Source organism: Homo sapiens, chromosome 16 (genome assembly GCF_000001405.40).
Source record: "Homo sapiens chromosome 16, GRCh38.p14 Primary Assembly".
NCBI classification, from domain to species: domain Eukaryota; kingdom Metazoa; phylum Chordata; class Mammalia; order Primates; family Hominidae; genus Homo; species Homo sapiens.
This window is the reverse complement of record NC_000016.10, coordinates 72,197,750-72,213,818: the sequence shown is the minus strand read 5'-3', so window position 1 is coordinate 72,213,818 and position 16,069 is coordinate 72,197,750. Positions and strand designations below refer to the sequence as shown.

Below are 16,069 nucleotides of genomic sequence, written 5' to 3'. Positions count from 1 at the left end.
TGCTACCTACTAATCCTTGATCTCTTCCCCAAAAGATTCCATCATATCAGTTTTCGCTCAACTTTTTTGTATTAGTTATCTATCACTGTGTGACAAATTGTCCCCAAAACATTGCAGCTTAAAACAATGAGTATTTATTATCTTACAATTTCTGTGGGAAAATAACCAGACTTGGATTAGCTGGGTCCTCTAACTCAGGATGTCTCACAAGGATGCGATTAAGGTGTCAGCTAGGACTGTAGTCCTCTCAAAGTTCAACCAGGAGAAGATCTACTTCCAAGCCCACTCCAGTGATTGTTGGCAGGATTAGTTTCTCAAAGGCTTTGGCTAGGCCCTCCCTTGGTTTCTTGTCACATGGGCCTCTCCACAGGGCAGCTCACAACTTGACGGCTGGCTTCATCAGAGCAAGCAAGTGAGAGAGCAGGATGGAAGCCAGAGTCTTTTTAAATCCTCATATTGGAAGGAACACCCTATCATTTTTATCATATTCCATGTATTAGAAGCAAGTCACTAAGTCCAGCTCAAGAGGAGGGGATTATAGAAGAAAGGACTACGGGGAGTCTGAGATCACTAGAAGTCTCTTTAGACAATGCCTACCACACCCTTTCCCCACCCCCCCCCGGGCTCTTGCTGTAATCTGGACCAGTTAATCTCTAGTGAGAGTTTCCTTCACCACTTTCTTAAGTTGATGTCTGTTTCCTGGACCCCATGGTCTCCTTTCTTGGTTTACTGTCTCTCATTTTAGGAGAGCACATCTGTAGCAAGTGCTGTCAGCTAAAGATACTGTGAAGATAAATGTTCTAAGTCTTTTCGAGTCTGAAATGTCGTTATATTGATATTCCCTAACATTTGGACAGATATAAAATTCAAGGCTAAAAATTACTTTCCATCAGAATGTGTAAGGTGTTGCTCCATTTTCTTCTAGCATGAAATACAGCTATTAAGATGTCTGATTTTTCATTCGACTGTAAGTGACCTGTTTTTATCCCCGCTGGAAACTTTCAGGATCTTTTTTTTAACCCCAGATGTTCTGAAATTTTACAGTGATGTAATCGAGTTAAGGCTCAGTCTTCATTTATTGTGCTGGATACCCATTCACCTTTTCAGCCTGAGATTCATGTCCTTACATTTTGGTAATCGTTCTTGTATATTTTCTTTGATAATTTCATGTGTCCGCTTATCTCTTCTCTTTTTCTAGAATTCCTATCAGTTGGATGTTGGACCTGCTAGAACAGGAGTAAGCAAGTTTTTTGGTAAAGGGCCAGAGAGTAAACGTTTCAGGCTTGGTGAGCCACATGTGGTCTGTCACATCTTCTTCCTTTTTTTTTTTTTTTTCCAATACAACCCGTTACAAATTTTAAAAGCACTCATAGCTTAAAGAACACATAGAAACAGGCCACAGGCTGGATTTGGCACATGTACCATTCATTGCCAACCTCTTCTAGACAGGTTTATCCTCTATATATCTTATCTGTTCTCTCTTATTTTCTATTACATCTTGCTATAATTTCTGGGAGATTTTCTTGAAGATGTGGTAGGCATCTTCTAAAGAGACTTCTAGTGATCTCAGACTCCCCGTAGTCCTTTCTTCTATAATCCCCTCCTCTTGAGCTGGACCTTCTAATAAATAAAATATGATAAAAGTGATAGGGTGTTCCTTCCAATATGAGGGTTTAAAAAGACTCTGGCTTCCATCCTGCTTTCTCACTTGTTTGCTTCCTATTTTCTATTACATCTTGCTATAATTTCTGGGAGATTTTCTTGATGTTACCTTCCAACTATTTTACCACTTTTTTTTTAATTTTAGAAAAAAAAATTTTTTGATACAAGGTCTCACTATCTTGCCCAGACTGAAGTGCAGTGGCAGGATCTCAGCTCACTGCAACCTCTGCCTCCCAGGCTCAAGCAGTCCTCCCACTTCAGCCTCTCTAGTAGCTGGGACTACAGGTGCACACCACCATACCCAGCTAATTTTTTTGTATTTTTTGTAGAAACAAGGTTTCACCACATTGCCTACACTGCTCTCGAACTCCTGAGCTCAAGCAGTCTAACCACCTCAGCCTCCCAAATTGCTGGGATTACAGGCATGAGCCACTATGCCGGGCCCTAGAAATTCTATTTTTAAATTCTAAGAATTCTTTCTTATTCTCCAATTGTTCTCTTTGCATAACATCTTCTCAAATCTCTCTAAAGATATGAACTAGAAGGTTTTTTTCTTTTTTAAGTTTATTTTCTGTTCTCTGCATTATTTCTCTTTCTGTTTGTCTATTTTTGTTTCCTTTCATTCAGAGGTTTTCCTCAAAAATCCTTGCCTGTCACTGTATTTAAATGTGAGATTCTAAACAGGGAGCATTTTCTTTGGGAGTGGGAGCAGGACTTGCCAACTAACAGGCTTCACTTTAAGGTTATTAAGTAGAGAATGTTTGTATGGGGAAGTTTAGTCCCTAGGGCCATCTAGTTTATTCAGAGAAGAAACTTCTGGTTTTCTGCCTGGGGGACAGATGCCTTGCCTCTGGTGTTCTGTGCACTGAGTCTGGGAGGTGGGAGGAAGGCCAACTGTTCTGGTCACTGATTTTTATCCAAGCCTTTTGACCATATCACACTCACCACACACAGACCTAAGCCCCCAAGCTCCAAGTCTAGTTTGTTTCATAAGACCTAAGTCCCTATGTTGCCATAGGGCCTGACAAAGACAACTTCTCTGAAAGCACCTAGCACACCCTTAAGTGCATTGTAGAATCTCTTTTCCTTCACCTTCCCTTTACTAATCTGTCCTCTAAGGTGATAAAACCATCCCTTGCCACCCTTCACCAACTGTTAAAGAACTTACCTAGCAAAGAATCCACTTGGCAGGGGACTATTTCTAGCCCCTTCTGGCATATGGAAGATCTTGGTAATCTTGGGCTACAAAAGAGTCGGCTACTGGATCATTTTAGTAAAGGTGGCCATGAGACGAACTTAATGTGTCATTTGTCCTGAGAACCCCTGGCTAGCATCACTCTTACTGTACTAGGGAAGACTTCACCTCAACACTGTGTTTTGCTTTGAGTCAACCACTGGTGACCCAGTAGCCGTGGGAGGGAAATTGCCCCTGTTTTCCTCATAGCCTGTCAGTCTCTATTACATCAGAGAAAGCTGAAAAATTGATTCTTTTTTGTCCCTGTCCAAATGTGGCAGCTGTTTAATTTCAATTAGCAAAGCTTGAAAAAGAATATTATGCCAGGAGTAATTAAAGCAGGAGGGGGTTCCTTGCTCACCTGCACTCCATCCTCCTAATTGGGGATCTGAGGTGTCCCCCAGCAGGACTGTGAAGTTTGGGTTCTGGGGAATTCTGGTGCCTGGGGCTTTGATGTAGCTCTCTCTTCAAACAAGTGACAGGACAGGAAGCATAAGCCTCCAGGAAGGATTCATTTAACTTTTTAAAGTCTAAAAATTAGCTGTACAGATCAGACTTGTCTACACCAAAATGCCAACTTGTTCACTTCAAGCCCTTGCTTTTGCTCTCTATAAGTCATCTGTCTGCTTTCAAAGCTCCTCCTACTCTCCTGCTGGGGAAGGCCAACTCCTTTCTCCTTTATCAAACAAGTATTTGTTCTGGTTGACACATTAAAATCTTTACCAACAAGTGAAGCAACCCCCTACCTGCAACTTCGTAAGTTTCGCTGCATCCGTCAGAGTCCCAGGAGGAAACAGAATTCACTCCTAATGGTACAGGTGGATGGAATTTAAGGAAGGGGCTACTGACAGAGGAATAGACAGGGGTATGAGAACAAGCAAGGAAAGGTGCCCAAAGACTAACAACACCAGGAAGCTGTTACTACCCATAGGGTGAAAGGAACAATGGAAGGACCAGAGCCAGTGAGAGCTGGGGGAACGGCCCAGCAGTGGCTGTAGTCAGAGAAGGATGTGACCTTCCCAGAGAGGCTGAAGCAGGGTAAGAACAGGGAAAACATGCCCTGCTGCCTTTCCATCTTCTGCATGTGCCTCCCATGGCCAAATAGCCAGGAGAGTTCATTGTCAGAGTTCATTGTCACTTCTCGTGTATGGGTCTCGTTTCCCAGCTTGTGTGTGGTCAACCTGAGGGTCAATATTATGTCTTGTATTTGTTCTGTATCCCATGGGGCTTAAACTAATACTGAGCACATGGGTACTTAATAAATGCTCTGGTTAGATTATTTGAGTATAATTTGTTATTATATTTTAGAAAAAATTGAGAAGATAGATGTCTCCATATATTGAATTTTACATATATTATGATGACAATGTATATTTAAGAATATGATATACAGTTATATATACATATATACAGATAGTACATGCATGGATAATATATACAGATAATATCATATATACAGATATCTATATACAAAATGATATATAGATAACTATATATGATAACAATATATAATAACTGAAAATATATGTACAGTATCATTGTAAATTAATAAGTGGGTCTCAACTGGAAATACAGAGATGACCTTTAAAATAAAAGTAAGAAAACAGTGAAGTCAGTGAGAAATGACAGCTAATGGGCATGTTTGGCAGCAACTTACATATCATGCAAAGCCAACCTACCTGGGATGCTTGGAGTAGAGATACAGGCATGCTGTGCATGTCGCTTTCTGGACACAAGCGCTATTTGAGGGCTATTTGTACGCTCTTCTTTAAGAGACTAAGTGATGGAAGATATGGGGTTTCCAGGAAGAGGGCTCACCGGGGCTGAGTGTCCAGGCCCACTGGCTATGTGGGATCTGTCTAAGAGCGGAGGTGTGTGGAGAAAAGGCAGCCACGCTGGTGAAACATGGAACTAGGATTCTAGCAAACAGTTTGCACGCTCAAAAAGGATTTCATCACTCTTTACACTTAACATTCTGCAGAGTCTCAAGTCCTCCATTGTGATCATTGCACTGATCAGATGGGGACCAATGCAAGGACATGTCACTGTGCCTCAGCCAACTTACCACCTGCCCCAGCTGACACAACTGCGGGTTCTTTGGCTCCTTTCTGACCCATCTCGCACCAATGCCTGAAAGGTGTACTTCCCTGTATTTCTTTTAAGTGAACACTAAGGCGGTCAAGACGCTGACAGGAAACATCCATTCTTCTGCACCAATGTTGAAAAGCCACGAATCACACAGAAAAATTAACTTTGATAATATCCTTGTAAGTGGCATGCATCTTTATCCACAGCACATTTTAGATTATGAACTGGATTATTCCTTTGCCCCAGAGCCCTTCTGAGCCACCTGCTTCTGCCAATAGTTGGCATGCCTGCCAAAAATGCAAACTACTTTAAAGTTACCTTTGGGAAAATATAATTAGAATGGAAAATTATATATTCAATTTAATAAGCTGGGGGAAAAGGAATGACAGAACAAATGTCTACATGGATTAGCATAAAAGCATCAAGTCAGAAGGTCTCTTTTATCATGTAAAGAAATGTTGGGTAACCCTGCTGCCCATTCAGATTTTTCTGCTTCTTTTGGCTGACAGCATTCTCAAGTGGGTCGTCTGTGTCTTCCTGCATCCTTTTCCCTACCACACATTTCTTCATTAGCCTTCCACAAGCTAACTTCATGGCACTGTGGTGATGAATTTTATGTATCAGCTCGATTGGGCTACAGGGTGCCCAGACATTTGGCCACACATTATCTTGGGTGTGTGTATGAGGGTGTTTGTGGATGAGTTTAACATTTGAATTGGTGGACTGAGTAAAGCAGATTGTCCTCCCTAATGTGAGTGGGTCTCACCCTATCAGTGGAAGGCCAAAAATTCAGACCAAAAAGGCCAAGAGGGAGCTTCTCCTGCCTGGCTATCTGAGCTGGGACATTGGCTTTTTCTGACCTTTAAATGTGTACTGAAACATTGGCTCTTCTTAGGTCTTAAGTCTGCTAGCTTTTGGACTGAAATTTGTACTATGCTCAGGTATTTGGACTCTCACTGGAACTACACATTGACTCTCCTGGGTCTCCTTCTTGCTGACTGTAGATCTTGGGACTTAGCCTTCATATTCATGTGAGCCAATTTCTTATGATAAATTTCTTTATATATGTATATGTGTGTGTATATCAATATGCACACACACACACACACACACACACACACACATGCCCTACTGGTTCTCTTTCTCTGGGGAACCTGGACTGTACTCTCAAATGTCACCAGTGGTTTTCCTGCCAGGCTCTATGAGAGGCTCTCCACCTTCACCCTTGTTGATGCTGGAGTTACCTCTTAGTTCTCAGCCCTCCTCTCACAACCTCCTCTAATTCTCAATGCTGCAATTTCCATTTCTCTACTAAACCACAAGCTTGAGTTATTCTCTGTGTCCCAGCACAAGATCTCCTACTACCTATTAGCCTTGCAACTTAGTGCCCCTATCTCTCCTAAAATTCAGTGGGTCTGAATATTGTTTCTCTCAAAACCATCCCTTTTTCTTCTTGATTCTCTTGCTTCTGGCTGAAAACCTCCATGTCTGCTTCTCCCACCCCAGGATCCAATTAATCACAAGCCCTGTGGCTTTTCCTTTCATTTCTGAGGCCATCACCATCTTTTCATTCCCTCTCCTTCAATCCTAGCCCAGCCTCCTCCTCATGTGCAGCAGCCTTCTCATTGGCCTCTCCATCTTCCATCTCCCTTCACCCTGCACTCTGCACTGTCAGCCTGATTGTAGCAGAACATTAGTTCATCCCATCTGTCTCCACTTGAAAATCTCCAGGGACTCAGTGCCAAGCCCAAACTTCTTTACTGAGCCTCTAAGCCTCTCTACCATCTGACCCACCATTCCAGGGTGGCTACCGAGACAAAATGGAGCTCCAGGCCATTGGAGCCACAGCGCTGCCTTCCTCAGAAAGCTTGTATTCCTTCCAACTCTGAAACATAAAGTAATGGGAAGGACTCATCTTTTCCAATTTAAAATCCCCTTTCTACAGGCATATTTTTAAAATGTTGAGATCACGTGCAGTCTGGGTGATAACATGATTCACATGAAGTTCACTATAAAACTTTTAGGGAGGTAAGCATTTCCTAGCCTCCTTTGCTATTGTTACTTTTAGCTACGGTAATCGTTGGCACGTTGAGTTCAGCTAAAAGCAGTGCGCCGGGAAGCGATGATTAACAGTGTGGACTCTCAAACCAAACTACCTGGATTTGAATCCCAGCTATATCACATACAGGCAATATGGCCTTGGGCAAGTCAGTTAACCTCCTGGGGCCTTAGCTCCATCATCTGCAATATGGAAATAACAATAATCACACCCATGGACTGTTGTGAGTTTCCCAGAAAGTGGTTAGATCAATGTAAATGCGCATTACAAAGGCCGTATGCATTTCAGTGCATTGTTCCTGATGGTGAGCTGCCAGCAGTATCAGGAGTGACTTATCTGTGGAGCTGCCCTCCTGGAATGCTGATGTCATGGCCACGAGTGAGCATCCCAGTGGTTCCTCCAAATCTTGGCTCACCTACAAAAGTTGTAAAGAGGTGCAGGTCACAGAGGCTCCTGACCAGAAGGTGCCTTTCATTCTATTGTCAGACATTCTATGAGGACTGTCACAGGCATGATCTCATTTCAACTTCTCACCAACCCATAAAATGAAACAGAGGCTCAAAGAGACCAAGAAATTTGCCCAAGGCTCACAGCTAGAATGTGAGCCCAGATCTACCTGTACATTTTAACTCATGCCTCTGCTTCTGTCCTGTCTCTGCCAGACCTTCCCAAGTCACTCTCACTCACTTCCCCAGACCCCTGGCCCATTTCCCAATAGCAAGCTATTATCTAGTCAGGACATTCATTCATTCTCAGTGGGCCCTAAGTGGAGCAAAACAAAGCAGTGAGGTTTCTTTCTGGCTCTGTGTGTGTGTGTTTGTTGTCTTTGGAGCTTCCACTTTCATAGACGGTGACCCTAGAGCAGTAGAACAGGAAGAGATGGAGGCCCTCAGAGCCTCCATCTAGATGCTTCTAGAACGTACCTGCTTAGGTTATGCCAAGGGCATCAAGGGTGATGGGCAGGGCTGAATTCTGTGGATAAAAATATGAGTGTGCAGCAGAGTGGACCAAAGTGTGGTTGATGATCTCCAAGAACTCTATGGAAGAGACGACTATAAACAAAAGGGCCCTGCATGTGTGCTCTAGGAACCTCATGAAAGGAGGCCACTCTGCAGCCAGGTGACCATGTATGTGCACTAAGTGTGTGTGCCATGCTCTGTCTTTGCATCATTATCCTAGTTCTGTCCTGGCATCATACCCTTTTGTATGTGTATGGAGAGCTAGCAAAGTGGCCAGGCCTGGGCTGTGTTGGGGTCACCCTACCCACAGCAATCCAGGATGCTCACAGGGGTTGTTTGCATTCTTGCTGTCCAGCTGCAATTGGACACACACGTGGTTACTGTAGGAGATGCCACAGAGCGGGACAAATGTCCTCATGAGAAACTTATTATGCTCTCCAAAAGGAGCTGTCCATTCAGGGAAAATCGGTAGCAGGAGGCTGCTCAACACAAGGCCAACCGCCCTTCTAGCGACGTGCTGCCTCTTGCTGCCACAGCACCACACCAACGCTTCAGCGCTTTGGAGTGCAAGAAGCAGGCAGATCGCTTTTAGAAATTAGGGAAAAGAGTATTTGAGAGCTACTCACCTGTTTTTAAAGCCTCCCCATGAAGCTTCCACATCTCTGTCTTTCTCCTGCACTGTAAGGCCCTGGTCCTGGCCCAGAAAGTCAGAGTCACAGCCTAGACACACTGAGGATGGCATCCAGAGTGTCCTGGCCTGTCATCCTGTCCATGGCAGAATGAGTAGTTAGTACATAGGGCCTGTGTGCCCACCAGGCTAGGATGTGATTTGATGGCGCACTCTCCAATATGGCAGCCAGTAACCACAGTGGCTGCTTGGATTTAAATTAATTCAAATTAAATAAAATTTAAAATTCCATTCCTCAGTCACACTAGCCACATTTCAAATGCTCAATAGTCACCCGTGGCTAGGGCTACCTCACTGGACAGATAGAACATCTTCATCATCACAGAAAGTTTTGTTGGGTGGTGCTGGTACTCCAGTGCCATCATTTAAACTGGCATGAGTTCTTTGAAGGGCCCCCAAAATCCACGTGGAGGAAAATAAAAAATGGTATATCAAGTACTAGCCAGGGAGCACAGCTACCTGTACATCCTTCCCTCTGCTCATTCATTCGTTCAGGAATGTCATCGTGTACCTGAATACACAAGGCACACCAGGGTTGACATACTCAGGACCTGCCAAAATGATCCAGACTGTGCTCCTGCTCTTAAAGGACTGCCCATTTGGTTCAGGGGATAAATGTGCACAATGGCCAGGTGTGGTGGCTCACGCCTGTAATCCCAGCACTTTGGGAGGCCAACGCAGGCAGATTGCTCGAGCCCAGGAGTTTTGAGACCAGTCTGGGCAACATAGTAAAACCCTATCTCCACAAAAAACTAGCAACGTGCGGTGGTGCACGCCCCATCTCTAAAAATAAAGTAAAAGTATTCCCAGCAGCTCAAAAGGCTGAGGCAGAGGAATCACTTGAGCCCACGATGTTGAGGCCGCAGTGAGCCAAGATCCTGCCACTGCACTCCAGCCTGGGCAACAGAGCAAGACCCTGTCTCAAAAAAAAAAAAAAATGCGCATGAGTAACAATAACACAAGAAGAAAGTGATCATTTCACCATAAGAGAAGTATGCTGAGTGCTCACAGAGTTCAGACAAGAAAAATCTGCTTCCAGCTTGGGAAAAGGAGTAGCTTTCAAAGGAGAAACGTAGACGTGGAAGAAAAACTATCCCAAGCAGCGGGAAGGACATGAGCGTGGCACAGAGGCAGACAGGGTCCTCCCTGGCAGAATGGTGGCTCTCCTCCCTGGGAACATCCAGCCTGAGGCTGAGGTAGGACCCCTGCTGACTGACTGATTACCTCAGTGCACCCTGCTCAGCAGTGGGGGATTAATGTCCTAGCCCAATTGCCCTCTGTTTTGATTAAGGGTCAGTCGTAAGGAAGTCATAGGGAATTCACTCTAGCAAGTGAAAGAAGGGTATTAAATGACTTACAAAATTACCAGGAGAGCTGAAGAAACAGACACTAGATTGAGCTTTCAGGAGTGGCTTGAACACCAGGGCACCAAGGAAACTGCTGCCTCGTTGGTGATCAGGAAGCCACCAAGATCAGGAAGTGATATAATTAGAAAGTGGCCACCATCCGTACTTGCCACAGAAAACCCTGACACAACCATGATGGTGCTGCCGGAGAAACAGCAGCCCCAGAAAACATGAGCTCTGACTCACTTCCCCTTCCACATTTCATCTGGGCACGTCTGACTGGCAGAACTTAAATCACATCCAGAGACCCAGGGACAAACGCATCTGAAAAATAGAAAAGAACGTGGAAAACAATGGTTGCTAGTTTTCCAGACTCCAAAGTATAGGAAGGAACATTGGAAAGTTGGAAATCCATTTCACCTCCAACCTACCACACCCTCTTACCCACCAGTGGTGGGGGATTAAGTGACCAGACATGCTCCAGGGTGTTTAGAGCAACTTTCAAAGGTGAGAACCTGAGATATTTTCTGCTAAAAGCAGAAATCAGGAGACAGCACTCATATAAGTGCACTAACAAGAAAGAAAAGTGGAAAATATTTGAAGGAGACTGGGTGCCATTTATAAACCAAAGATTCCAGAACTGGGCAACCTCTTTGTTTCAATGCAGCCACTGTGATTCCTAGCTTTTTGCAAAGAACTGCAAGAATCAGCAGGGTTTTACAACACCCTAGCCAGCCACACACTGTAGGACTGAGGGAGGCCACAGGTAGGGTGAATTTCCAAGTCTGAAAAATACCAGGGAAGCCAAAGAAACAGACACTAGGTTGAGCTTGCAGGAGTGACTCTGAACGTCGGCACCCAGCTCTTGGTTTTGTTTGTCATATCAGTCCCTGCTGAGGAAAGCAAACAGCAGGTAACTGTAGAACACACCTGTCTATAGCAGCTGTTTGATGTTAGTAGGCTTTGATTGTCAACCGAGCAATTTGCTTAGGATTTGGAAACAAAGGAAGGAGATTGTCAAAAGCCCGAGGAGCAGGTGACATGCAGCATGCCTGTGTGCTCCCAGCAGTCAGGAGGAGGATGCGTGAGTGAGAGATTGGCACCAGAGCTAGTGCAGTTTGGGGAAGTGACAGCCTCCTACGGGGCAATAATGGGAACTCTGCAATAATGTGCCAACTTCCTATCCCAATGAAGTGTTGATGTCAGCAGAGACCACACTACAGGCAAACTAGTCTAACCAGTGTCGGGGTGGGACCTAGGGAGGAAAATTGCTCAATTCTTAGTATGGTTAGAGAAAAACGTCAGGGCCAGGCTCAGTGGCTCACGCCTGTAATCCCAGCACTTTGGGAGGCCAAGGAGGAAGGATGGCTTGAGCCCAGGAGTTCACGACCAGCCTGGGCAACATAGCAAGATCCCATCTCTAAAAATAAAATAAAATTTTAAAAAGAGATACATCAGTGAAGAGTCCATGAAGGATGCCAGCTGGAATGATTTATAGGTGATAGTGACTAATCTAGAGTCTACTGTGACTGAGAAGTGAATCAACCCTGCTGACTCTTGCAGTTCTTCAGACACTGAGGAGTGTCTAAACCCACCTGTCCTTTAAGATCCAGCTCCAGTCCCAAGTCGACTCATTCACTCACTGATTCATTCATTCAAGGGTTTCTACTCAGCACCTTTTGTGTACAAGATATACAATGAACCATGCTAGTCATGGTGTCCACAGGGAGATGAATAAAAGTAATTTCTCTCTAATATGATGATAGGACATGAATAAATAACTCTATTACAAGGTAGCAAGTGAAATAAAGTAATGTGAAAATTCCAGGATGGGACAGTTACTTCAGTTTGGTGGAGGAAAATGAGAAGGATCTGGGAGGCCTTCCTGGAGGAGGAAGTGGTCTTGGTGAAGGCCTCGTGGAATTTGTTGTCTTTCAATATATCTGATCTTTTCATTTATATCTGACTTCAATAATGAGCTTTGAAAGTATTTTTTAATAAATCAAGGTAATGTATATAAAGAAAGGTGTTTAACCGTATAGTGGGTAATTAATCAATATTAGCCCTTTTCTGGGATGGAAATGGGCCCAGAGGGAAAGGTAAATGTTGTGATTGAATATAAGTGGGAAATGCACTGCAATGCCTTGATCTGCTTCAATGTTAAAGGATTGTGATTGGCAGCTTTGCTGGAGTTCTTTGTTATTTGTTTTGGAGCCAGGCCCTTCTGTAACCTGGGAAAGTGTTCCCCATCGTATTCTGGAGAATTACTCTGAGCATCTCTGTTTGTTTCTAACTATGATATTCAGAGGAGGCATACAGGATTTTAACTGAATTGAAAACAAGATGTAATGTGGGAAGTACTGGAGATATAGTAACTGTTGGGAATGAGGAAAATGTATGATGAAAATGTGGACATAGTTCCTGTAACTTTTGCACCTCTCAAACTCCAATTGAAATTTAAATCCAAAATGCATTATTCTGAGGATAATTGTTCAGCATAAAATTATGAACTCAAATTAGTATCTCATCACCCTTTCAAAGGAAAGCCTGAGAACCAAGGACATAGAACCAAATTTTAGCTTTCCCATCAGACCCCTCCAGGTCACTGTTAAAGTATTGCTGGGGGAGGGGGGAAGAGCTGGGAAAGCAATGGTGTGGTCACACATTATGCATCTGCACCAGTCTTGAGAGCTCTGCAAATCTGTCCTATAGGTGGTGTGGGAACAAGGAGTTATTCAGGCTGCGAAACAATAAATGGGGAAACATTAAGTGGACAGTTGTCCAGGCAGAGAGTCATAACCAGGCTAAAGCACCCAGGGACCCCCCACGGCCAGGTCCCTATGGATGTCACCAGCAGCATACACAGCAGGCAACTCCCTTTCTCCCCTGGCAGCACTGGACCAGGTGTCCTAAGATCTAGATCCTGTCCTTACTCTGTGTGATTCTATTCTAGCCCCAACCTTTCTAGATCCAAATTTTCTCATCTTTAAAATGCACCCACCTACATCACAGGGTTGCCATGCAGTTGAAATAAGGTAATAGTTATGAAAGTACTTTGAAAAGCTGTAAGAATTGTAATAATGTTATTCCTTGACTATAGATTAACGAACATAATAAAATTGCTATTGCAGATATTAGCATAATAGCACAGATTGTCCTTCCCTTTAATGCAATTCATCAGGAATAAAATGCTTCTGCTTTTTCCTGACGTTCTCTCACCATCTTTCCTCTGTAGGAGGCTATGAGGCTCACTGGTCTCCAGAAATGTACCTCTGTGTGCGGGAATGTTCCAGAAGGCCACACTGTCTACAGGGCCATTGCTTCACTGCAGATTAGATGTCCTCCCAGAACCTTCCAGGGCACTAATTGCCTAAACAGCTCTGGTAAGAAGATCAGCAAGTATTTTAGACTAGTAAGTGTGGAAATTCTGCTCTAGTATAAATCAAACCAATTTTGATTAGAAAATATAATCTGTTTCATGAACAGCTGGACAGTTTACTCTGCCAGTTAAAGGATAGTACTTCCCCCATCCTAGCCAGAGGGAGCTTGCGCTGGGTTGAAGTCCCTGATAGGAGTCAGAGGACTGGCTCTACCTGAGGTCACCCTGCTCCTCTGCTCTGTGGACAAGTGACAGTGGAGTGAGCCTGTTTGGCAAAGGCCCCTCAGAGGCTCCATCCCAGCAGGGCGGGCACAGAGCCTTGTGTGCTACCAACAGCTTGCCATGTAGTTTTCTCCCTCCAGATCCAAATGTCACACTCAAACTGCTGATATAAAATTCACTGCATCGCTTCCCTTCATTTCCTCTCGGGCTGCTTTTCACTCACAGGCTCCATGAAGATTTCCATAGTTACTAAGCTCTCTATGTAGAGTCAGCTCTGACAACCAGCAGCCCCATCCTAATTCCACGCTGCCATTCCCTCTCTTCTTGACTTCTCTCCATGTTTCCTATTCCAGTGCAGCATTAGAACAATGGCTTGGAACTAGCTGAGTAAGTGATTTGCAACTACATTCCCCCCTCTATCACTAGAGGGACCGACCTGCTAAAGGAAGTCACTGCAGAAACTACCTTTTTTTTTTCTGAAAAGCCCTTTCCAATAATCTCCCTACACTTTTTTTTTTTTTTTTTTTTGAGACGGAGTCTTGCTCTGTCTTCCAGGCTGGAGTGCAATGGCATGATCTCAGCTCCCTGCAACTTCCACCTCCCAGGTTCAAGCGATTCTCCTGCCTCAGCCTCCCGAGTAGCTGGGACTCCAGGAGTGCACCACCATGCCCAGCTAATTTTTGTATTTTTAGTAGAGACAGGGTTTCACCATGTTAGCCAGGCTGGTCTTGAACTCCTGACCTCAGGCCATCCGCCCACCTCGGCCTCCCAAAGTACTGGGATTACAGGCATGAGCCACCGCACCCAGCCACATTTTTAATGTTCCTTTTGCATGACGTTCAACATAGACTTTCTGAGGACTGGGCTCTGCATTGTCTTCACTTTAGCTCTTCAAGCAGGTCTTCTTAAAAGTGACATTCATAAAGCGGGGAGGTCACTGAAAGGCTAGGGCCATGCAAAGGCTGTCAGCCACGGAAGATGCTCCCCCTGCCTCAGAACACAGGCGGACTGCTGACAACACCTGAACCGACAGGGGAGAGGTGACCTTGGGTTGGAAACAAAGGGCTAAGCCCGGGAAGCATGCGTCCTAGTTCCCTGCAACAGCACAGCCACTCACCCTAGGCAGCGCAAGAGCACAGAAAACAAAGCCTCATTTGGCATCTCTGATATCATCTTTGGAAGTGAATAAGACAAATCACTTAAAAGGGGCAGGGGAGATCGATGACGCTGCTAACTTGAGACTGTCCATATGAGAGGTTCTGATTTATCAGCCTTCATAGAAGCTGATAAGCTCTTGAAATGAGTGTTCTGTGATCGGCGGCCGTACCTCCTGGTAGTCTGTGTTGCTCTCCTGGTTGGGGTGGGTGGGGGTGGGGGGATGTGACTGTGACAGGGACTGAAAATACACACTGTGATTCCATCATTCACCGATCCACGGGTTTGCCTTATTATGATGGGGCTGTTACTTGTGTCAACCCCAGGTATAGCCCAAAGCTGGTGGGAATTATATTTCAGCACAGGTTTGGGGTGGGGGAGAAAAAACTACTACTGAAAGTGGAGGCCGGTCATTTTTTAATTGGTATTACTATGAAAGCTATGTTCCTTGCATTAGCAGACAGAGCCAGAGAAACCGTGCAGCCATTCGGAAAGGAGGAGGGCAGCTCTCCCCAGGGCAGGGGGATGTGCGGGATCCAGCAGGGAGAGGGAAGCTATTATTAAAAATAAGAATAAAAAAATAGAACTGTAAAGCGGGTGAGTAGCCCTTCTGAATATTGGTGCTGAACAGTGTCTGAGCACTGGCTGGGGCTGCCTGAGTAAGATTAAAATCTGCAGGGAAATTTTGTTCCTTAGCACTGGCAGAAATTAGGAATAAATTCAATTGCATTCTGCACAATAGCTGGAAGCGATTGAGGTTAAGTGGCCTCACTCTATGATGTGTTAGTATTACTGAGCACTCTCTGCTCACGTGACTTGGTGCGATCTGCTCTTGGAACACGTCGCCATGGCAACTGATGATTTCTATTACAGTACATTCAAGTTCACATTCTAGGCCTGTCATACGCTTGGAAATTTCCAGTTAAAATATTTATTTATGAAAAAGGCAAAAAGAAAAGAAAAGCCACCCCCAGACTCTTTCAGGGATAGAAAACAAAAAGGTGCCCCCAACGAAGAATGATTCATCTGCCAACAAGAAGGGAATGCTGGGTTTTCACTCAGCTGTTGCCACTAAACAAAAAATGTCCCATGGGGTGGCCAACTTTGTCAGGGAGGGGACAAGTTGGAATCTTAGCTGCTGTGGTTTGGTGTGCAGATGTGATGTTGCACTGGATGCAGAGTGACAGAAGTGGCCCTAAAAACCTGCAGATCAGAGTCTCCATTTGACCCTCTGAGGCACACTGCTGCAATTTCAGCTTCTCGCTAAGGTTCTGCAC

General features: G+C 44.5%; 1 protein-coding gene and 1 long non-coding RNA gene across 2 annotated transcripts in view, besides 2 other annotated features; one reads left to right on the top strand and one right to left on the bottom strand.

Moving 5' to 3' along the window:
• The window catches only part of PMFBP1 (polyamine modulated factor 1 binding protein 1), a 133,293-nt gene that overhangs the window by 36,131 nt on the left and 81,093 nt on the right, over positions 1 to 16,069 (top strand). Inside the window, exon 3 of the mRNA XM_047434734.1 lies at positions 13,272 to 13,419. The gene's annotated coding sequence lies outside the window, so the exon portion shown is untranslated. The remainder of the gene's footprint in view (positions 1 to 13,271; positions 13,420 to 16,069) is intronic.
• On the bottom strand, positions 4,185 to 10,158 carry LOC105371341 (uncharacterized). The gene is made up of 3 exons (XR_933729.4): positions 10,049 to 10,158; positions 8,629 to 8,767; positions 4,185 to 7,458 (listed from the first exon to the last, which is right to left on the bottom strand). It is a non-coding gene; the product is annotated as an uncharacterized LOC105371341 (long non-coding RNA).
• Positions 10,217 to 10,286: an enhancer, noted in NCBI's record as "active region_11095". NCBI's record gives its function as "activates an Ori minimal core promoter by ATAC-STARR-seq in GM12878 lymphoblastoid cells {active_cell/tissue: GM12878}" and the evidence as "EXISTENCE:reporter gene assay evidence [ECO:0000049][PMID:35858748]".
• Positions 10,317 to 10,386: an enhancer, noted in NCBI's record as "active region_11094". NCBI's record gives its function as "activates an Ori minimal core promoter by ATAC-STARR-seq in GM12878 lymphoblastoid cells {active_cell/tissue: GM12878}" and the evidence as "EXISTENCE:reporter gene assay evidence [ECO:0000049][PMID:35858748]".